General features: G+C 49.7%; 1 protein-coding gene and 1 pseudogene across 3 annotated transcripts; one reads left to right on the top strand and one right to left on the bottom strand.

Moving 5' to 3' along the window:
* PNMA3 (PNMA family member 3) lies at nucleotides 9,482-13,474 on the bottom strand. Of its 3 annotated transcripts, none has more exons than XR_938508.4 (3): nucleotides 13,306-13,474; nucleotides 11,173-12,994; nucleotides 9,482-10,660 (listed from the first exon to the last, which is right to left on the bottom strand). XR_938508.4 is itself a non-coding variant. In NM_001282535.2 (3 exons), the coding sequence occupies exons 2-3, from the start codon at nucleotides 12,886-12,888 to the stop codon at nucleotides 11,400-11,402; spliced, it is 1,368 nt and encodes a 455-aa protein (NP_001269464.1). In that variant the 5' UTR covers nucleotides 12,889-12,994; nucleotides 13,306-13,474; the 3' UTR covers nucleotides 9,482-11,399. The 3 variants fall into 3 exon arrangements, 2 of the variants coding, with proteins under 2 accessions (NP_001269464.1, NP_037496.4); NM_001282535.2 differs by having other exon boundaries at nucleotides 9,482-11,462; nucleotides 11,584-12,994; NM_013364.6 differs by having other exon boundaries at nucleotides 9,482-12,994.
* HMGN2P48 (high mobility group nucleosomal binding domain 2 pseudogene 48) lies at nucleotides 17,439-18,602 on the top strand (annotated as a pseudogene).

Genomic DNA, 24,013 nt, shown 5'->3' with positions numbered 1-24,013 from the left:
TGCCCCCCACCGCTTCTCCCCCTTGAGGGCCAAGACTGCTTGTTCTCATTCAGGCAAACTGCTGCTCTTTACCTCTGCTGTGAGAGTGTCTGTCTATCGAACCTTTAGTGTTAGACTTGTCACGGCTTATACCACATATTGTCCTCTCTCTTGTTTTCAGCCGTGATTTTTCTGGAGTCCTTCTTCAGAAAGGGCACCGACCCCCCCCCCCTCCCCCCCCCCGCCTCGGCCGCCCCCGCCCTGGGAACATCTGTGGGTCTGGTGTCTCCAACTGGCCCAGCCAGCCCACCGGCCGGCTCGCAACTAATTTCCTGTTTTCGGCCTTGTCTCTTCCCACTCTCCTTCCTTCTGCACCTGCTGACTCCAAGTCCAGGACGCTGCAGGACACCCATTGCCCCCCGCCAACCCCGGGCAAGGCTGGGCTGTGACACGTCAACTGTCTTTCTTTTGTCAGTCCTCTGTCCCCATTGTCTCCACCTCTCAACACAGTTGACTCTCCTTCCTTCTCAAAACCATTTCCTTTCTCAGCTTCTTCCTCTCCCCCACCCCACTTTTGGGCTGACCTCCTCCCTCTCTACCTGCCTCTCTGCCCTTGGACCTTCCTCCTCCTCCTCCTACTTTGCTGGATCTAAGCGTGGTGGGGGCGGGCTCCCAGCCTCAACCCTGGGACATACGGCACCTCCGATGAATGCTCTGTCTCTGGACGTGACCTCTCTTCCAAGCTCCGCACGTACCCATCCATCTGCCCACGTGGATGCCCCGCAGACATTTCAGAGCTAAGATGTTCAAACCGGAGGGCTTCGTCCCCTTCACCATGCCTACACTGTCCCCGGGCTTCCCCCTCTGTGCAAAGGGCTCTGCCTCCTACCTGGTGACTCAAACAAAGCAGCCAAGATTCTCTCCCCTCTCCTTTGTTCCTCACTCCCAAATCTAACCCATCATTGGATTTTGTTGACTCTGCTCCAAGACTGCTACCCTTCTCATCTCCGTGGTCCTTGGCCCGCCCTGCCTCCTGTTCTCCCTGCCTCCACTCCGCTTCCTCCCTGCTCCACCAACACCCCCTCAGCAGCCAGGGTGATCTTTTTGCAACACCACCAGACCCTGCTCCTCCCTGTGGCACCCCATCTCCTTAGAGTAATCTCAAAGTCCCCATCCTGGTCAAGAGCACCCCCCACGCTGCTCCTGGGGATCTGGCTTCCTCTGATGCTCTCCTTCCTTCCCCGAAATCCACCCCATGTTGCCATGCCCCCAGCTCCTCTCACCACATTCCTGCCGATCTGGCCTGTTCAGCTGGCCCCAAAGCACAGGGCTTGTTCCCACCTTCGGCCTTTGCCATCCCTCCTTCCTCTGTGTGAGCCATCCAGGCCCAAGAACCTTCTGTGGCAGCAGCTTCCTCCTGCTCTTCCTCTCCCTCCTCCTCCTCCTCCTCCTATTCCTCCTCCTCCCCCTCCTCCTGCACCTCCTCCTCCTTCATGTCTCAGCTGAACTGTCCCCTCCTCCCATAGGCCCCCTCTGCTGGGACACACAAATCACGTGCCCTCGGTTTATATTCTTATTGGCGGCATCAGTACATGTGTCGGCACGTGAGAAATGCTGGTCTGAGTCTTTGCTTTTGGGTATCAGGGGCTCCCTCCCCAGGTGGCAAGCTAGAGCCCCAGAAGGTGGAGTGGACTTGCCTGTGTGTCTAGCCCATTTGCACTGCTATAGCAAAATACCTGAGACTGGGTAACTTGCAAAGAACAGAAATGTATTGCTCCCAATTCTGGGGGCTGGGAAGCTCAAAGTCAAGGCACTGGAGACTGGGAAACTTACAAAAGAACAGAAATTTCTTGTTCCCAATTCCGGAGGCTGGGAAGCCCAAGATCAAGGCACCAGTAGGTTCAGCATCTGGTGGGGGCTCAGTCTCTCCTTCCAAGATGGTGTCTTGTGCCTGCGTCCTCACATGGTCGTGGGGAGGGAACAGCAAAAAGGGGGCTTACCTAGTGCTTTCCAGCCTTTTACAAGGGACTCCTCTCATCCCCGAGGGCTCTGCCCCCATGGTCTCATTGCCTCCTAAAGGTCTCACCCCTTAACACTGCTGCGTTAGGGACTAACTTTCAACATGAATTTTGGCAGGGACACAACGTTCAAACCGTAGTACAGCGTTTCCTACCCTGAGATCCCCAGCACCTAGAACAGAGTGTGGCCCAGAGGAGGCTCTCGGTGCCTTCTTTCCAGCAAGTGCCTGAATCTGTCAGCCTGCTCCAGCCTGCCAGGGTACCGGGACCTTATCCTGAGGGCTGTGGGGAGCCCCGATGGGTTTGAAGCCAGGAGGTGGTGATGCTGAGACCGGCCGGCCAGACGTCTGGGGGAACTAATCAGCAGGATGGGAAGCCTGGAGCAGCGAGGGGGCTGCAGCCCAAGTCCAGGCCCCCCCGACCCCGGGGCTGGGCAAGGAGGGTCTAAGGGAAAGCAGAAGATACAGGCTCTAGAGAGGGAGAAGGCCCGGGGAGGGCTCAGGCAGGGTCCCGGGTTCCTTGTTGTGTGTGGACCGGGTGGAAGGCAGGACCCTTGTCTGACATGGGGATCATGCTGGCAGTTGTCTTTCCTCTTGCCTTTTGTGGAAAGAGGGGTGACGGGCATGGGGATGAGTTCCTGTGGCCGTGGTCACATTCAAGTGGCTCGTGTGACACCCAGGTAGACATTCGCTCTGCCCTCTTCCTCCCTCCCGCCAGCCTGCCACTCTCCATCTTCCCGTCCCTCCCCACCCTGCCCCGCAGCACCCAGCCCTGCCCTGTGGGCAGGCAGACTCCCTGGTAAAGGTAGAGGAATTGTATAGGTGGCCCCTGCTTGGTTTGGCTCCCAGAGGCTTCCATCTTTTTGGCTTGGTCCCCCTGATTGCCAGCAGAAGGCACTGCACAGAGCCAGCGTGCCCAGCAGATGTTGGACACCTGAAGGGATAAACACGGAAGCACTGTACTGTGAGGTGGCACTTGATTGGAGATGCTGCAATCAAGATTCACAGAAGGCTCTGGGTTGCTTGGTGACCAGACGCCTCCGTAGAGCACCTGCTGTAGTACTGGCTCTTGAGAAACAAGTCCCAAGGACAGCCAGCCTTGCTGAGTGCCTCCAACGCAGGCCGGGACGCAGAGGAGGTCTCCGTGTGTGTTTCTCCCCACCTGGTTGCCTCCCAGCTGGCTGACCTCGGACGTGTCCCTTACAGCCTCCACAGGTTGAGTGGGAGCATTGTCTGCTCTTGAACCAAGAAGGGCTTCTTTGCTGTGCACCACAATGTCCGAGGGCCCAGGCTCTGCACAGCCAACGGGGGCCCCCTTGTGTCCTCCAGGGAGAGCCTGGGGCTCCTCCCTACCGTCCTACCTCAGGCAGGGCCAAAGCTCCCCAGTCTGTGGCTTCGGGCCAGCTCCCCACCGGCCGCGGCCTGCTCTGACTGCTCAGAAGCTTCTTCCTCCAATGCCCTCTTTGATTCTGCTCCCGACGGCTCTCTGCCCTGCCCAGAGCCCACGACAGGTCCTTGGGCTGCCAGGCTAGCACCTGCCTCCTGCCATATGACCCTGCCATTCCCTGGCTGGCTGCCCCTACCTGGGGTGGGGGGAGCAGTACTTCCTCAGCTTCTGTCTGGCTGTGCCCCACCCACACACACACGGAAACACACACACACACACGCACGCACGCACGCACACGCACGCATGCACATGCACGTACAACCTGCCCTGCCCCTAGCCTGTCCTCCGCAGCCTCACAGGTGCAGGTGGCTCCTTCCCACCTAGCAGGGTTTTTCTGAGGGACAACCCGATGTGGCACGCCATGCTTCCCAGACTCAGGGTCCTGCTGGGCTGAATAAGTGTGAGCTTGTTCTGCGTTGGTCCTTGACACAGCTGGTTGCCTGTGGCACAGTCTTCAACTCATTGAAGTCAAGTCCCTCTGGAGGAGCGTTGGTGGGGCATTGGTTGTGGAGGCCGGTGGCAGTGGGCTGGGTGGTTCCATGGGGCTCAGGGTACAACTGCATTGGTGATCAGTCCTCTCTGCCTTGGTTTGGGATTGAAATGGCCTTCATAGCAAGCTCAGCCCGGTGCTTGCTCCCAGTGAGCTTGCCTGCAGCTAGATGCCATCAGCATCATTCCTCCCACAGCTGCCTTCCAGCTCCCTTCCTTCCTGTGTGTGCCACTGGCTCTTCCAACCCATGGGGCACACTCACTCTCCTCCCAAGGAGGCAGTGTCATCTGGGCATGGCTGGCCCTTTCTGCCAGGAGTCCAGGGATTCCTGTCAGAGGCCCCTGCTCCTGCTCTTTCTGCCCTCGAGCCTGCCGGCCCTCCTCACTTTGACTTTGGAGTTTGGATGGTGACTCAGCAGTCAACCAGCATTCAGGGGCAGGGCCACGGTTTCTGGGAGAGAAGCCTGCAGATGGCTGCACCCTGGTTCCAGGGACTCGTGTCCCTGTCCTCTCCTGGAGGACTCCGGGGTCCTGGCTTCCCAGGTGCTATGTGTGTTGAACGGTGTCTCATATCACATATCAGAGTGAATTTTGGGACCATGGTTGCCAAGGAAATATCAAGGTTTGGCTGGAGTTGGCCCCATAAGTGTTCTGTGCTGTGTTTCTCTGTTGCCTGCTTCCAAATTGCTCCGTGAAGTTCAGGCCATTCGTCTGTGTCCTTTTGGTTGGTTCTGTGGAAGATAGTTTCCTCGTTGGTCTAGTTAGCCACAAGAAAAAGATGCCCATGGTTTTCTCAAATCATGAGTTTGTGAGCACTGGGCAGTGATCAAGTTCCCTGGGGGATGCCACAATAAATTTTCCCTGTAGGCAAGACTTTAGGAGCAAACCAATAGGATAGCTCATAGTCATAGCTCACAGCAAGCAAGTTGCCTGCTTGAAGGATGGGCCTATGCTGTGAAAGTCTGTTGGAACTGAGCATATCAGGGTTCTCTAAATGGATAGAACTAATGGGATCTATATACATATATATATACACATATACATATATATATAAAAACTATATATACATATACATATATATAAACTATATATATATACACATATACATATATATATATATATGGGAGTTTATTAAGTGTTTATACTCCCATATATATATATGGGAGTTTATAACCATATATATATATATGGGAGTTTATTAAGTGTGTGTATATATATATATATATAATATATGTGGGAGTTTATTAAGTATTAACTTACACGATCACAAGATCCCACAATAGGCTGTCTGTAAGCTTGAGGAGCAAGGAGAGCCTGAGTCTCAAAACTGAAGAACTTGGAGTCCGATGTTTAAGGGCAGGAAGCATCCAGCATGGGAGAAAGATGCAGGCTGACAGGCTAGGCCAGTGTCTCTTTTCACATTTTTCTGCCTGCTTATATTCTAACCTCGATGGCAGCTGATTACATTGTGCCCACCCAGTTTAAGGGTGAGTCCGCCTTTCCCAGCCCACTGACTCAAATGTTAATCTCCTTTGGCAACACCCTCACAGACACACCCAGGAACAATACTTTATATTCTTCTATCCAATCAAGTTGACAGTATTAACCATCACACTGAGCTGGGCTGAACTGTGCCTCCTTGAGGACATACCACACTTTCTGGTAGAAATAAGGCTTTTAAGGGTGTCAGCTCAGAGGAGAGAAGGCAGCCAGCAGCACATGGCCTCCGGAAGATCCCAGGCCGTCCCTCTTGTGACACAATGTGACCCCATGGCCTGGAGTTTTGGATGGGGGGATGGGAAGAAGGTGAGTAGTGCTAGCTGACAAGAGCTACCTCTAGGGGCTTTTTGATGATCAGTCAAAACTCTAGTTTCCCAAGGGGAAGTGTGGCTCAAGACTGGAAAGAGACCCTGTCCAACAGAAATCTCCTTGTCTCCTGGCTCTGGTGTCTCTCCAACCTCAGCAGATGAGAGCACTCAGTAGTCCCTGGATTTAGCCAACATCTCGATCTCTGTAGCCACCTCTGGTGTATACGAATGCCCCCTCCAAGCTATCCCTAACACTGCTTCCTCGCTGACTTTTCTAGTTCACAGACATGAGCAGGTCATTCCTATCCTTCACAAATATCAGGGCAGTGGTCATTCCCTGAAGACCCAGGTGCCTTGCTGCACTTCTAGGGCAGAAGTCCAAAGTTGTTAGCAAAGTACTTAGCATTACAGACCCTTCGTGGCCCTGTCTGACCTCCCTATGGAGCTATTGTCTTCTCCTTGCCTCTCTGTCCATCACCCTGGGACCCAGCCACACTAACTTTCACTACAGCCTCCAAATATCTACAGATCATTCAACCCCATTCATCAAAGAGTGAGTGCCTTGGCTGTGGAGAGCTCACCAGGACTGCAAGTTTTGAGAGAAGGGAAACAAATGATGTAGGGCCAAAGATCAGCCCAGATATCAGCTTAGAAGCACTTACAGTCTATGGCAAAGCAAAGGAAGAATGCAAACAGCATGTGGCATTCTCACTGAGTTGTGCAATTGAATGCCACTGGGGTTTCTAGAATTTGCAGTCACTGTACAGAAGAGAAGGGAAATGAGCAAAGAAAGAGCTCCAGAGCACCTCACAAAGTTCCCACTGAGTCTTTGGCTGCATACTAAGTTCTGCTCAGATAGAGACACCACAAGGTTGAGCACAGAACACCTCCAAAGCTGTGAGCTGGACAATTGTCAAAGCTCACACAGTGTTCAGAGATGTTCAATTTCCCACCAGCCACAGTGGAGAGACCACATTGAAATAGCTGGGCATTCAGTACAGAGCCTAGAAATGCCACACCTCGGGAGCAAGTCTAAGGTAGAATGAAAACCCACATTAACAAAGTTTAAAAACAAGGCTTCAAAGGCTTATGCTGCTCTGTAAGTAAACAAACTGCCTGCTGGAACAACTCAACACAGAATTAATGGAAACAACAAGACCAAGATATTTTACATCCTAACCTAAAATATCCAGATTTTACACAAAAACTTCTAGACATGGGAAGGAGAAAAACGTGACCCACACCAAGGAGAAAATGTTTCAATAGGCCCAGAAATGGCAAGGACGATGGGATTAGCAGATGAGAACTTAAAGACAGTTATTAGAAGTAAATGTGTTGTTCCAGAATTGAAAGAGAAACATGAAAATGATGAAGAAATGATTAAGGAAGGATCTCAACAGAAAAACAACACCGATAATGGAGAATCAAATGGAAGCTTTAGAAGTGAAACATGTAGAAGAGAGGAGCCCTGTGATAGACCCACAGGTACAAAGTCAAACAGTTTTTGACCAACACTCTAAATAAAATCAATGTCGAAAGGAAAGTCTTTTCAAATGCATCTTGACCCCACACCAAAAACTAATTTAGGTACTTTTTTTTTTTGAGACAGGAGCTGGCTCTGTCGCCCAGGCTAGAGCACAGGCTCAATCTCCTGGGCTCAAGAGATCCTCCCACCTCAGCCTCCCAAGTAGCTGGGATAATAGGCATGCACCACCACACCCAGCTAACTTTTGGGGTTGTTTGTTTGTTTGTTTTTTGAGGCTAAGGCTGGTCTCAAACTCCTGGGTTCAGGCAATCCTCCCACCTTGGCCTTCCAAAGTGCTGGGATTACAGGTGTGAGCCACTGCACCCAGCCAATATAGGTATATTCTAAGACCTAAATGCAAAAGCTACAACTACAGAGGTTCTAGAAGAAAACATAGATCAATATGTTTGCAAATGTGGGCCAATGAAAGATATCTTAGGCAAGACCCAGGCAGTGGTCATTGTAAAAAGAAACAAATGATGCAATGGACTTCATTATAATTAAACCCATCAGCTTATGAACAGACACCATTAAGAATATGCATAAGAAAGACACAACTGGTAAAAAGTGTTCCCAGCACACATATCAAAGTACTTGTATCCAGAGTATTTTAACAACTTGCACAACTCTAATAAAAAATTTAAAAAGCCAGGTAAAAACTAGGCAAGGGACTTGAACAGGCACTTCGCTAAGGAAGACAGATAGCTAATAAGCACATGAAAAAGTGCTCGATATTATTAGTCATCACAGAAATGCAAACTAATGCCTCAGTGAGATACCACAGTGAGTCACCCAACAGAATGGTTAAAAGTTTAAAGCTGGCAATACAAGATTTTTTGGAGTACCCTAAGAAACGAGCACTGCTCATTAGAGTATAAATTGTCACAATAGCTTTGGAAATCTGTGTGAAGTTTCTTATAAAGTTAAATATACCACTACCCTGTGGCCCAGCCATTCCATTCCTAGGTATTTACTCGGGAGAAAGGAAAACAAAAGTCCACAGAGATTCATACGAGGATGTTTCTATCAGCTTTAATCACACAATAACTGTAACACATATCTATTTTTAGATTAGGGACCTTAAAATAGATACTGCACTTGATCGTAGCCAAAAGGCCAAGAAGCCATGTGAACCTTAAAAATAGGAATGTGCCAGGGGTCAGAAATGGATGATTAGCTAGTAGGCCCAGCTCTAGGGCCATCAGCCTAGAGGCAACAAAAGTCTCACTGCTGTTTGGTGGCAAAGAAACTTCTACCTCTCTCTGCCTTCTTTCCAACCCTCTTGATCCCTTAAAGAAATAAAAAAAAAATCAATCACCCAACATTTGCACTCACACGAAAATTCACACACCCTCTCATAAACTGTCTCATACACACTAACACACATACTCACACACTCACCCATTCCACACATTCACGCATATGCACACACAAACTCATAAACACACTCTGAAACACACATTCACTCATGTGCACACTCAACAACACAAAGTCACCCACACATTCACTGTCATACACACATTCACACACCGTCTCACTCTCACATATTCACATACTTTTACTAACACACATATACATTAAACACATAAACATACATTTGACCACTAACACACATTCACTCACACACAAAAACTGATGCATACTCACACTCAAATACAAACACACATTAACATATTCACACACCATCTCACACACTCACATATTCACACATTCGCTGACACATGACACACACAAACTCTCCTACACTCACTCTCACACAATCACTAGTACGCATACTCACACATATTCACCATCTCACACACACTCACAGAGATGGGCCTGGTTTTGATGCTCCAGGTGTGGAAGCCCAATAGTGATACAAGGGATCCTGGGGCCACTGGTCCAGCCTGCTGTCCCTCACCCTTCCTTAAATATGTTATTCATTTCTGAGAAGCTCAACCAGTGCCCTGAGGACCCAACCAGCCACTGCCTGGGCCTACCAGTGTCCTGTCTACTGGGACTATCCAGCCTGCTCAGCTGGGTTTCTTTGCCTGGGTCCGTGGGCCGTGAACCCTAGCTCATGACCAACATGCGCAGATAGGGCATTCTAGAATGCCTTGCAGACCGAGCCCCAAGTATACACCAGTGTTAACAAAGCCACTGTGGCCCTCACTCCACCCCAACCCCATGCCCAGCCAACCTCATCCCCAGTTTCCCACAGCAGAGGCGAGGCCGGCTGGAACACTGAATGAAGTTTATTGAAGAGAAACACGTACTGAAAACGTTGAAGAGAAGGGAATCACAACACAGAGAGAAACTGCAAACGGCCACCACAGGACACAGGTCCCACACAGGTCCCGGGCCCCCTCCTCCTGAGGTTCCTGGCAAGACGCCTCATCTGCTCCTACTCCTGCTGCAGCCCCCGCTGCCAACTCCCTCCTTCCTGAGGGCCCCGGGGTCTGCCTCTTGCCAGGAAGGTAGACTCTGGCAGTGTCCACTGGCTTTAGGGAGTCCCCTCCCAAGCCCATCTGCTGGGGCAGGGCCCTGCCCTATGGCCCGCACAGGACAGTCACAGGACACTGGAAAACACAGCAGGGAACACCCTACCAGGTTAAGGAAACTGAGTCATGAGTAACAACAGGGGTGGAACACCAAAGCACAAAGCTCCTCGGGAGCCTCAGGCAGGGCAGCCCCGCTCCGTCCTGGGTCCAGTTCTTCCTCCCACAGTCACGGTCACCATCGTGGTCACAGGGTGAGCGTCCGCCTTGCCCTGGTGCTTCCTTCCTGTCATCTCCTGGGACTGTGCTGGGGGACTCCGGGGAGGAGCTGCTCAGAGAAGAACACACACAGCTCCACAAGAACAAGCAGCCACTGGCCTAGATCTACACAGGGAAAGCAGAGGTGGTGCTCATGACGCGGGACAGCAGTGAGCAGAGCCTGGGCTCACAGGAAGCTCACAGCATGTGCCTTGGGCCCAGAGGCGGCCACCTGGGTGGGTGCATAGCACACTACTTTGCACAGGAACAACGGCTAGCGGTGGGTGGGCGTCTGCTGGACGCGTGGGTCACTACAGGGGCCTACACAGGTGAGGATGAGCTTCCTGGAACAGGGGGCAGCCTGTCCCGGGAACAGTGAGTTGGGGGACCCCTCTTGGGAGACCCAGGCATCTGGCACCCTTGAGAGGGCCTCTTTCCCCCTGTCATCTCCCAGCTCAGGGCTGGGGGAGTTTGGGACAGACGTCTTCAGGTGCCTCCACCCAGGCCATGGCTGGCTGCTTAGGGGATGCCTCCAGGCTGGATTCCCCAAGGTGGCAGGGTTGTGGCTGGCCTTGGAATTGGCATTGGCATCTGTTGAGTTGCTTTGGCCATGGCAGCCCCAGGTTCTCCTTGCTTGATCTCTCCAGGAGTCTGGTGGCCCTGTACAGAAACAAGCAGAAGAAACAAAACCCTACCAAGTCCTCCCTTTTCCTCCTCCTTTGCAACAAAGACTTCCCTTCACAGCCACCCTGGTCCAAGTCAACTGTGAGGGCACTGGCCTGCCGGGTACCCAGTACCCCTGCTGGGGGTCTTCTCATCAATCTTTGGTCTCCTTGCCTGCACAACCTCTGGCTGGCACTGGGCTCCCGGGGCCTTAGGGTCTCCTGTCCTCACTGGCACAGGGCCTCCAGGGTGCTGCCTTCCTGGGGCTCCCCTAGTGCAGTGTAGATGATCCTGAAGACGGGATGGACCCTGTGGCCTCCCCTGCAGGGCTTTACCTCTGCCCCCCAGCTCTTCCTCACCAGCCCTGGCACCTGCTGGCAGGGGCAGGCCCCAGGTAGGCTCCTCCAGGTCCCATGTGGCCTGGGGGCCAGTGGGCATGTTCAGCTCAAAGTCCACAGGGTGGGTATTTAGGGGTGGTTGGATGAGCAGGACAGAACCCCCAGCCGTACCTTCTTCAGCTTCTGCTTCTTTGGGGTCCCCATCTGAGGCCCAGGCACCCCATGTGCTGGATGCAGTGGCTCCCTGCTTTCCTCTCCAGCACCTCTTCGGGGACCTGGACCTGACCCCCACTGAGCCTGTTGCCAGGTGGTCTTGGTTGCTGAAGTCCCTTCCAGCTGGCCAAGGGTGAGAAGGCTTGGCCTTGGTCTGGCTGCCCTGTCCCTCTGCCCCACTCAACTCATCTGCTGTTTGTCTGGGCTTCTCTTTCCCCTCCTTCCAATATCTCTTTTGTCTCCTTGGCCTGTGGTAGGAAATGTTGCCCTGTTCTCCCGAGCCTACTTGGCCTTGGACTTGGGATGGCTCTTGTCCCAAGCCCAGTTCCCGTTTCCCGACTCAACTGCAGCCTGTTTCTTCTGCTTTACCAAGAGCAGGTTGGAGGGGTTGATGCACTGTACCCTGATGTGGCCGTCTTCCCCACAGCTATAGCAGAATGTGTGGCGTTTCCGTTTTCTTGAGCCTCGAGAGCCAGCCCTTGCCACACCACCCCTTCGGTGTTGGCCTCTGCCCCTCCGGCGCCGGTAGCCCTGGGAAGGCCTCGCATCAAAACTGTTGCCAGAGGCAGGGAGAGGTACTGCCCCAACCCCAGTGATCCTGGCAGGTGGCCTTGGGGCTACTTCCAGCCCCTCCAGACTCTCCCTATCTGGACCTAAAGTGGCCTCCCATTCCTCCTCCTCACGCAGGAGCTTCACCAGGGCCAGGAAACCAGGAGGCTTCCTTCGCTGTTTCATCAGCTTAAGCTTATCTCGGAGTTTGTCAGGAAGGGTGGCCCCACTTAAGACTCGTTTCAGGCGAGTCTGATTCACGTTTCTACGTGATACCACATTGTTTTCTACAGCTCTTTGGAGCAGGGGTTCCAAACGTAACACAAAGCTAGATACTTTCTCTCCTGCCTCCTGATAGGCTTTACACAACTTCACCTGGGCAATTTTATGGCTCTCCACAGGTCCGAACACCTGCTGCAAGGCAGCCAGGCACTCCTCCACAGTTATGGAAGCATTGCTGGCCCGGAGCCCACTGACCACCTGGAGAGCAGGGCCCCGTAAGCATTCCATCAGCCTCCGCCTCTTTTCCCCCTCGGGCACCTGCCACATCTGTAGCATCTCAGTGGTGTGCTCAAGCCAGGCATCAAAGGCCAGTGCACCTGGGATGGATATGGTGTTCCCAGAAAACACTCTTAGTTCTCGGTACAACATTTGTTCTAGCAGAGGCTGCACTGCTGCCCCCAGAGTCTGGGCCCAGGTCCAGAACTCTGGTGATATAGTCACTCTTGGAGCCGAACAATTGGTGTCCGACCCGAGGACTCGGTTCATATCTGACACGGTCCGCCTCTCCTCCTCTAAGAAGCGGTTCAGTCTGTTGAGAAATTCCCCATCTGAGTTACGGGGTTTTACAATCACTTCCCAGGGCCCCCCCTTTCCTGGTATTTCCCTTGGGAGCAAAGCATAGTCGATATCTTGTGCCAGCTCCAGTAGAATCGCCTGGGCGTTCTCCTCCCTCCTAAACATCCTGCCAATCACCCTGTATCTGCCCAGGTGCCTGCAAGCCTCCTGGAGTGTCTCCTCAAACTCATCCTCGCCACAGTCCTCGGGGATCCCCAGGATGAGCATGCACCTCCGGGTGTTCAGGTGTTCCCCCCGACACCAGTCCTGTAACAAGGTCAACGGCATGTCCTCGAATCTCTGCGGATACTAATTTGGGGGGAGTGATCAGGGCGTGAGGCACATATCTGGATCAACTCCTAGGGTGATCGCAGAAGGCCCAGGTCTCCACAGCCTGTGAATGCGAGCAGGGCGAGAGCGAGGTTAATGCCCACCTCTCCGCACGCCCACATCCACGCCCACCCCCACCCCCACCCCCAGCCGCCCTCCTCCCCGGGCGGCGCCTCTGCAGCCAGGCCCCGCCCCTGCCCAGCCCCCCACCCCCACCCCCCGTGGGGTCTCTGCGGGCCTCAGCCCCCTCCCCGCGCTGCCCCAGGACCCTGGACCCCTGCCCTGCAGGCTGCTTCAGTTCTGATAGGGCGGACAGGCGAGGGGCGGCGGAGTCTCCCGGGGCCCAGCGTCTCCCTCCCCAGGTGGGTCTGTTACCTTCTCCCAGGGCAAGGTCCCTTCTGGTCGGGGTCCCCAGAGGGCTCTCCGGGGGCTATGCGCGGCGGCGGCGGCGGCGGCGGACGGGGGTCGGGCACCCCTGGCTCCCAGCGCGGACGTTCGCTCAGACTGTGGCTCTCCCTCGCTCGCGCAGCACGTGGGCCAGTGCGCCGGCGCCTGCTCGCCGCGGCTCTCTGCAGTGCGGACACGGGGCGGGGGCGCGGCGGCGGTGCAGCGCGGACCCCTCCGCGTCGTCCGGGAGACCGCAGGGCCATTGGCGCGGACGGGTCACGAGGTCGGGCTCTCGCCGCCGCCCCTGGGGGCCCCAGGTCCCCGGGTGACGTCACCTGCTCCTCTCCCCTAGCCCCCCCGCCACGGGGGCCCCCGGGCCCCCGGGCACACAAGCGCCCGCCCACCCCCATCCCCACTGCGGTGGCCAAAGGTCTGTGGCGGCCAGTCCCCGTGCCTTTGGCTCTCACCACAGCGGTTCCTGGTCCCGGCTCCTGCCCCTCCCGCACGTGCCACGGAGGTGCCAGCGGGGCGAGGGGTCTGCACCCCGGCGTGCCCACCAGAGGGCCAGGGAGTGGTCTGAGGTGCGCCAGGCAGCTCTGCATTATGGCCAGGGTCAGGGAGCCGGGTTCTGGGGCCTGTTCACCTGCTCTTGTCCTCCCCCTCCCCGTCCAGGACTGGTCCTCTGGCTGGCGAGGCCAGGGGCACCTGGTGCGGGTGCCATTCCGTGCAGGAGATGCCCCAGGCACTCATGCAGGTCACGCACACCACCCCAAGGAGGGTCAGCCATCTCCCCGCTGTCCATCCCGCTGCTGGGACCTGAGGCCCTCCGGCCAAAGCGCTTCGCTGCCCAGGTGCCAGTGGACAGGTTTACCGGGACCTTTCCGGTTTTGTGCGCTGCAAATCTAGTGACTTGGGAAACCACTTCCAGGACTTGGAGCCCAATCCCTTGGGCCTGCCCTTCCTTGGCAGCCGTGCGCCGTGGGTTCTATTGTATCCGTTTGATCCCAGGGCAGCAGCCAAATGAAGAAGGGAGTGACTGTCCCTCAGGCAGTGGGCCCAGGTGTTCTGTGGGTCCTGCCTGCTCTGCCAGCCGCATGCTCAACTCCTATTCACACAGCTTCAGCTCCTCTCCAAACACAACGAAAAGGGGCTTGTGGTTGATTTTCAGGCCAGGTTCACCCATCCAGCCAAGTCTGGGAGGCCACCTTGCAGTGAGTGGGGCACAAAACTGTCCACTGACTTCCTGCCCCACCCTGAGTTCTGCTCGTCAGCCTGGCACTTGTCAGGGACCAAGAAGAAATGGCCCCAAGGGCTTTTTCCTGGTCAGACAGAATTCCTGAAACATCTTTACAGGAGTTATTTCATTTGCTCCTCACCAGAACTCTGAAGCAGGTATTAACATTATCCTGATTTGACTCATGAGGCTCAGAGAGATTAAGAGACATTTTCAAGGTCACACACCGTATTGAAGGTAGAATTGAGACTGGATTCTAAATTAGTGCCCATCAGTCTTTGGGTAGAATTGGGACTATTTCTCCCCTGGTTGCTTCATGCCTATTAGAATTTATTTCTCTCATTTTTGTCCATTCACAGTCCCTTGCTTTGTCACTCCAAGGGCTCAACCAGCTTCAAACTGAACCTTCATCTGCCCAACTTGCAGGGGTGGAAACAGAGGTTCAGAGAAGGGACACTACTGGCCCAAGGTCACACAGTGAGTAAATGACAAAGCTTGAGATGTCAAGGGGAGATGCCAAGTATTCATGCCAAGGCAGAGGGGCGTGTCTGGAATGTCTCCGGAAAGAAGCCTGTGAAGTTCCCAGACAGACGCAGTGATCTGTGGATGTTCTGGGCATTGGGAAAAAAGGATTTGGAAACACTGGTATCAAGACAATAGATGTGAATATGTCCAATTTGAAAAGTTTTAGAACTCCTTTATATTGGAGTTAACCTTTGCCCTTGAAACCAGTGGAAATGTCTTAATTACTTTTGCTTCCCCATCTCCTTGCATGGTAGATAACACAGCAGCACCAAAGTTGGGGAACTGATGGATAAACATTATTACTTGTAAAGTGAAAAACATAATACAGCATGAAGGAAGCAACCTCCACCGGGGTGGCCTTGCCCTGGCTTAGACCAGTAGTGACTATCGGGGTCACAAAAGGGGCAGATTCATGGGCCCCACCTCTGCAATCTGATCTGCTGAGTCTGAAACAGGCCTGGGAATTTTTTAAAGAGTTTCTGGTAATTAAATACTTTATAAAATACATTCTGCAATATTTAACATACAAAACGTACTTAAAAAGTACATCCAGTACTCCTGAATGTAGTAACTGGATGAAGACATAAAACACTGCCAGTGAGGGTAAGCGCCTGCAGATTCCTTCCCTGTTGTCTCCCACTCTTGTCCTCCATGTGCATTTCTTCGTGCTTTTTCTGCAAATGACTATATCCCTAAAAAATTGTCTTTGTCTCTTTTACACTTGGCAGAAATGATATCATACTATTCATAGTCATCACTGTATTAACTAATTATTGTTTGTGAGAATCACCATTTTGATATAAGCAAATTTTATTCCTCAATTTTCACTTCTGTATAGTATTCCATTGTGTGTGTGTGTGTACCAAAATTTATCAATTTTCCCATTGACAGATATTTAAGTTGTTTCCCATTTTTACTATCAGAAACAATGCTGCTTTAAATATTCTTGGAGAGTTCCTCTAAGTTATGTACCTAGCCATGGCATTGCTGAATCAAAGACTATCTTTAGTATTCAGAGACATTGCCAAATTGTCTTCTGGGTTGCTGTACAAATTTATGTTTCCATCAAGCTCCATATCATCACTAACATTTCATATTGTGTGACTTAAATGTTGTTAATCCTGAGGAATGTCAATTGTTATTATGCTTTTATGTAGAATTTCTATGATTATGAATTAGATTTAATACCTTGGTTGGGGGGGCATTTTTTATTCCTCTTGATTGAAATTCCTATTTTTGTCTCAATTCTCAACTGGGGTGCTTCTCTTTTTTAATTCTTTCATAGGAGTTATTTATTTACTTTGGATATTTCTTCCCATTAAGTTACTATTCCTGCACAACCAGCTACCCAAAACATACTGGCTTAAAACAACCATTTTATTCTGCTCACAATTTTGTAAGTGAGAAATTGAGAGAAGGTTTAGCTGGGCAGTTCACTCATGGGATCTCTCATGTGGTTGCATTGAGATATGAGTTGAGAATCAAGTCTAAAGACTCAACAGGGCTGGGCACCCAAGATGGTTCATTCATATGGCTGGCATTGAGTCACACTTTTGGTACTTGCAGCCCAAAGCACGCTAATTTTTATAGAAGCTCAGATAACAATAGCTCCTCTGAATCATCATTATTGGACCAATTAAGTTTTTTATTTGGACTTTAAGAAATTTCTCTGGGAAAATACACAAATGGACAGAAATTACACCTCTTAATTTAAGACTGTTATGGGTTGAATTATGTCTCCCCATACCTCAATTCATATGGTGAAGTCCTAATCCTTAGCACCTCAGAATGTGACCTTATTTGAAAATAGGGTCATTGTAGATGTACTTAGTTAACATGAAATCAAGCTGGAGTGGTGTGGGCCCCTAATCCAATGTGACAAGTGTCCTTATAGCAAGGAAATTTGAACACAGAAACATGAAGATGCTCAGGGAGAACACCATGTGAAGATGAAGGCAGAGATTGGGGTGATGCTTCCACAAACCAGTGAATGCCAAAGATTGGCAGTAAAGCCCCAGAAGCTAGGAGAAAGGTCTCTGAGCAGATTCTCCCCCACCACTCTCAGAAGGAACCAACACTGACAATACTTTGATGGTCTTCTGGACTCCAGAAATGTGAGACATTCCATTTCTATTGCTTTAGCCACCTAGTGTGGTACTTTGGTACAGTCACTCTAGAAAACTAATAAAAAGATTAAACTGCAAATCTTCGAATGGTAAAAATGCTGAAAGGTTTCTGAAATGGAATCTGGACTAGATGGCATAACTATTTAATAATGAGGATACATGAGAGCCAGAGGAGAGCAAAGGAATTACTTATAAGATAAAAAAAATAAAAAAATAAAAAAAAGAATCTGGAAGTAAAGAGACAAGAACGACTCCCCAGAGTGGCCAAAGCCCGTGCACCACTGCATCCCTCCCCCAGAGCCTATGTCCCGCCACTATCACCACCATCCCCAAGAGAAAGGCTGAAGGGGATGCTAAAGGAGATAAATCCAACATGAAGGACAAACCACAGAAAAGATCCAAGAGGTTGTCTGCTAAACCTGCTTCTCCAAAGCCAGAGTCTAAGCCTAAAGAGGCCCCTGCAAAAAAGTGAGTGAAGGTACCCATAGGGAAAAGGGTAAATGCTAATGCTGGCAGGGAGGGGAATAACCCTGCAGAAAATGGAGATGACAAAACAGACCAGGCACAGAAAGCTGAAGGTCCTGGAGATGCCACGTGAAGTGTCTGCATTTTTGATAACTGTACTTCTGGTGACTGAAGAGTTTGAAATACTATTTTTTATCGAGTTTTATAAAAATTCATAATTTTGTTTTACTTTTTTTAAGCTATGCTGTTAGCACGCAGAGCACTTCATTGTTGTTTGGGGGGAAAGGGGCATAGGTCACTAATAGAATGTCTATGAAGCTGGATTGATGTGGGGAAAACACATTTCCCTTCTAGGTTTGAGAGACTTCCTATTGGTTCCCAAGAGGAGAGATTCCCTGACTTTGACACACATGGCCACCTTGGCACAAAAGCCTTGGTATGGAAAAACAAATTGTTTTTATGTCCTCTTCTCCCTTTCCACCTTTCATCATAGACTTAACTCACTCAAACCCAGACACCTGTTGGGACCTGAACCCAAATAATTGGTTACCAGTGTGTCAGGCAATCTGGACTTGCCTGTGATGCCACTGAGATGGTGCCCCTCAAAAGAGCAGCGGTTCTGTTTCTAGATTGTGGATCATCAGATAAATTCTGCCATTTTCATTTCACTTCCTGAAAGTCAGGGTCAACTCATGAAAGGTTGTTAAAACAACATGCTAAATGAGAAATGTCAACCTTCACTCTAAACTTTCCCTGTTCAGAGCATCAGATGAAGTCTTCATTGGGTTTTACAGTGGCTTTCTGATTTTTGGTAGTCCATTGAAGTAGGGAATTTGAAATGTTTTATACTGTGAATGACTGCCCATGTCCTGCCTGAAATACCATGATTGTTTCTGGAAAGTATCTTTAATAAAGCTAGATACAGTTTGGCTTGGGGAAAAAAAGAATCTTTCTTTTACAGGTTAGATTTAAGTAACAGTTGGTCACTGTCTGTTCCCTTTTCATTTGCCTCATTGTGCTCTAAATAAGAACTTTTACATTGTTCCTGACCAACAGAAGGCCAGGGCCCCCACAAGAGCAGGCCGTCCTTGATTGTAGGATGATGTAAAGTTACAATTACCAATTCTTTTTAATCATAAAATTCCCACACAAACAGATAGTGATTATGGGTCAAAGTTTTATTTAACTAATCAGTGAGGGAGGAGCAGAATGAAGAGCTGGTTCGAAAAGATTTGAAGGACTTATAGTTTTGGGGGAAAGAAATGATGAGGTAAATTGCTAAGTTAAATTCAAAACTGATTTACTCCTTGAGACAATAAGGCCATGGCACTTATTTCCCATTCAGGAAAAAAAAAATCACACCTTTGTTACTTTACAGAATTGTAAAACATTTGGGCTAAAATGAATTTTAGTCAATCAAAGTTAAATTTCTGGGAACAATCAAGTGAGTCCAGAATTAGAAAATTATCTAGCCCAATATTAAAAAGTCAGAGTCATCATTTTGCAGCATTTTAAATTTAAAAACTTTAGAGCTGTTTTAGGTTACCAGCAACACTGAATAGAAGGTAGAGAGTTCCCATGTACCTCCTCTACACTGCTAACACACAACCCCTGCCACTACTGACATCCTGCACCAGAGTGGTACATTTGTTACAACTGATGAAAATACATGGACAAAGCATTGTTGCTCACAGTCCATAGTTTAATTAGGATTCTGTATTAGTCTGTTCTCACACTTCTATGAAGAAATACCCGAGACTGGGTAATTTATAAAGAAAAGAGGCTTAATTGACTCACAGTTTCGTATGGCTAGGGAGGACTTGGTGGAAGGGGAAGCAAACACATCCTTCTTCACACAATGGCAGAAGAGAGAATGAGAGCCAAGTGAAGGGGGAAGCCCCTTACAAAACCATCAGATCTCATGAGAACTTACTATCACAAGAACAGTATGCGGGAAATTGCCCCCATGATTCAATCATCTCCACCTAGTCCCACCCTTGACACGTGGGGATTATTACAATTTAAGGTGAAATTTAAGTGAAGACACAGAGCCAAACCATATTATTCCACCCCTAGTACCTCCCAAATGTCATGTCCTCACATTTCAAAATACAATCATGCCCTTCCAACAGTCCCCCAAAGTCTTAATTCATTCCAGCATTAACCCAAAAGTCCAAGTTCAAAGTCTCATCTGAGACAAGGCAAGTCTCTTTCGCCTATGAGCCTATAAAATCAAAAGCAATTTAGTTACTTCCTAGATACAATGGGGATATAGGCATTAGGAAAACACACCTGCTCAAAATGGGAGAAATTGGCCAAAGCAAAGGGTCTACAGGCCCCACACAAGTCCAGAAATCTAATAGAGCAGTCATTAAACCTTAAAGTTCCAAAATGATCTCCTTTGCCTCCATGTCTCACATCTAGGTCACACTGATGCAAGAGGTGGGCTCACATGGCCTTGGGCAGCTCTGCCCCTGCAGCTTTTCAGGGTACAGCCCCCTTCCCAGCTGCTTTCACAGGCCGGTGTTGAGTATCTGTGGCTTTTCCTGGTGCCATGGTGAAAGCTTTCATTGGATCTACCATTCTGGGGTCTGGAGGATGGTAGCCCTCTTCTCACAGCTCCACTAGGCAGTGCCCCAGTGGGAACTCTGTGTTGGGGCTCCCACCCAACCCCACATTTCCCTTCTGCACTACCTGAGCAGAGGTTCTCCATGACGGCCCCACCCCTGCAGAAAACTTCCTGGACATCCAGGAGTTTCCATACATCTTCTGAAATCTAGGTGAAGTTTCCCAAACCTCAATTCTTGACTCTCTGCACCCGCAGGTGCAATAGCATGTGTAAGCCTTCAAGCCTTGGGGCTTGCACCCTCTGAAGCAATGGCCTGAGCTCTACATTGTCCCCTTTTAGCCATGGCTGTGATGCAGGGCACCAAATCCCGAGACTGCACAAAACAGCAATGGTTCCCTGGGCCTGGCCCACAAAACCATTTTTTCCTCCTAGGCCTCTGGGCCTGTGATGGGAGAGGCTGCCATGAAGACCTCTGACATGCCCTGGAGACATTGAGGAGGAGCACATAACCTGTAATATTCCAGTGCTGGTAACTGGAGCCTGTAATAGAATGGTGCTTTGAATGGAGGTACTATTGAAAATTATGAACAGTCACAAGGAGAAATAAGTGGAAGATAAGAGTGAGCAATGGAACTTGCTTGCTTCTAAGTAGGAAGAAAGTGGGCAATAGTTTCATGGAAGAGAAACATGGCAGAAGAGGACATGGCTTTATTTATTAGATATTTGGGCCCTCTTGAAAATCACAAACTAGAAATGTTGTATAATATTCACGTTCCATTGCATTTCAATTTGTAGGGTTACCTTTTTATACGGTAAGCTTTTGGACATTGGAGCCCCCTTGGTGTTTGTCCTGGGGGAAGGTGAGCTTTTCCTCATTTCTGGCTGACACATTTACTTGACTTGGCCAGTCGGGGTCACCATAATGCCACTGTAGACTACATGATAACAGGAGGGTCTCCATGAATGAGGTTGAATTTGACACTTCCGGGGAAGACACAGGAGATACAGACATGGTGTAGGCTTCAGAGTGTTGTCTAGCTTGCCTTTAGGATGGCAAAGAGGATTGGTCTGTGGAGGCAAAATGTCAGATACTTCCCCTTTGAAATCAATAACGTTAGGCCTGGATTATGACCAGCTGGGTTATCTTCATATTGGCCATCAGTTTATATAGGTAATCGCTATATTGGAAACCCCAGTCAACTCATGGAGACATGAGGTTCTGTCCATGCCTACACAGTATTGTCATGAGTCCCAGCCTTATGCAATGATCTTATGTATGTGTGCATGTGGGCAGGGTGGGCAGGGTGGTGGCGATGTGTTAGTAGCTGGTACCTGACTTTTTGTTTTTGGTTCTCTGGTGTAGTACTCTTGGAAATTTCAGAAATACCAGGTTTCTTATCAGTCACTAAGGAAGGCCTTCCATTTCACACTTTATAGATGTCAGGTGTCAAAGAGTGCAAATTCATGGACCAGTATAGTTTTCTCACCAAATGTCCTTTGGGAGCTTAGCATCTCCATTCTAAACCTTCCTGTCTTTCACTTTTTTTTTTTCTGAGACATGGTTTTGCTGTGTTGCCCAGGCTGGAGTACAGTGGTGTGATCATGGCTCACTGTAGCCTTGTCCTCCTGAGCTCAGGCAATCCTCCCACCTCAGCCTCCTGAGTAGCTAGGACTACAGGTGTGTGCCACCATGGCCGGCTAATTTTTTTGTATTTTTTATAGAGATGGGGTTTCACCATGTTGCCCAGGCTCGTCTCAAATTCCTGGGCTCAAGCAATCTAACTGCCTTGGCCTCCCAAAGTGCTGGGATTACAGGCATGAGCCACCATGCCTGACCCTGTCTTTCACGTCTAATATCAACAGTGGTTCTTAGCAACTAAGGGGGCTGGAGAAAGAAACACACCCAGGGAGATTGGTCATCCCAGCATACAACCTCTTGATTGCCCCAGCACAATTTTCAGTATACAAGGTTTCCTTGCTCCTATAAAGGAATGATTCACAAAACCTAAACTCCATACTTCAGTGCTAGCTTAAAATTACCAATTTATGCCTAGTGTTCCATTATTGGAATGCTAAGCATGTGGGAGTTATTTATATCCTACTGCTCAAGGTCATCACCAAGGTCTGATTGCAAAAATTCAAAAAATTGCAACCTCAGGCATAAATGGGTTAAATCAATATCCCTTAAAGAAAATGAAAATATCTTTTGTAACCAATAGTCCGTAACAGGAATCTAAAGCATCCTTCCCCTAATAATTTACAATAATTATATCTAAAACCTCAGTCCCAGTGACATGAGGGTGGAGCTAAGGGATGATTGGAAGCATAAGGGGCATTTTCCTGGGTGACTGAATGGTGGTTCAGGAATTCACCAGGGTGTGGGTATGGGTGGCCTTTGCCAAAACTACAATATTTCCTGAAATGCAGGGTTTGGAAATGTGAGGAATCTAGTTGACCTCCAAAAGACTATACTTTCAGCATTTTTTATAGTAATTTTGCAATTTATGTGCCAGGATTCTATGGCCACATATACTTGTGTCCGTGAAGCCACTAGGGAACCAGGCAGAGAGCTTCTGGTCCCTGGGTGGAATAGTTAAAGAGCTGAAATATTAAATGCAACAGCACCATTAGCTGCCAATCCTCTGCAGCGGCAGCTTCAGTGCCTTATATCTGCATGGGATCCAATGTCAAATCACGGAGTCTCTTCTAGGTAGACAGCAAGCCAATGCTCAGATCAGAGAGCCTTTTGGGAGCAGTATCTTTGTTAAAACCTAACAACAAACTAGGGTTAGATCTACTTATGTAAACCTGTAAAATACTAGAAGCTGGTTTCAAAATTAAGTAATGGGAATTCTTGAAATTCTTAAACTGCATTGCCCAAAATAAGAAAAAGTTCAATAGTAGAGCTGATGACAGTTGACTAAATCACAGATCTGAAAGTTAAAGATCAAGGAACTCTCCCAGAAAATGCAAAAAGACAAAGAAGTGGAAACGAACATAAGGAAAAGAGCACTAACAGAATTTCCCAAAAGAGATTACAGAGGAAAAAGGAAGCCACTTTTTCCCCTTCCCATGAGGGGGCCCCGGGGACAGACCCTTTTCCCCTTCCCATGAGGGGGTCCCGGGGACAGCACCCTTCCTCCACACATTCCCAGCCACACACTGCTTTAGTGGACCACACATGCTCGTTTCTACTTCTTTGTCTTCCTTCTGTGTTCTCCAGCAGGTAAAAACTTATTGCAGAACGTTGTAACTTGGCTGAACCCCCTTAAACTCTGATTAGGACATCAGGATGGGCTGTGATCTGACCATAGTCGGACTGTATATGTACCATGCACACATACTCCTGGCATAAATCTGGGGAGCCCTATCTGTTTCTTAGCATTCTCTGGGGAGAGCAGTTCCTGAACCATCCAGGCTTGGGGGCTGCAAAAGGAACAGCAGCATGCCCAACACCTCTGAACCCTCCTCCCCATACCCCCCCTTCACCACCAACTGCAAGTCTAGGTGCTCAGCTATCTTGAGGACCATCCACTGCTGGTGGGAAATCCTAGCATGGGCACATGCCTTGGGGTCTAGGCCCAGGCCATTGTGAGCTCTGACAGGTTAAACCTCCCCTCTGCTGCCACCTGTGAGATCACCACCGCACCTGAGATGCCACCTTGGTCTGCTTTTGAAGGTGTTTGAAACACTAAAGAGTGTCTCATATGATAGGCAGGTAATTTTCATTAAATGTTTGGAAATGTTTGGCTGATAAGGCCAATATTTGAAGGTCTG

The sequence above is a fragment of the Homo sapiens genome, chromosome X (genome assembly GCF_000001405.40).
Source record: "Homo sapiens chromosome X, GRCh38.p14 Primary Assembly".
NCBI lineage: Eukaryota > Metazoa > Chordata > Mammalia > Primates > Hominidae > Homo > Homo sapiens.
This window is presented reverse-complemented; position numbering and strand designations above follow the sequence as displayed.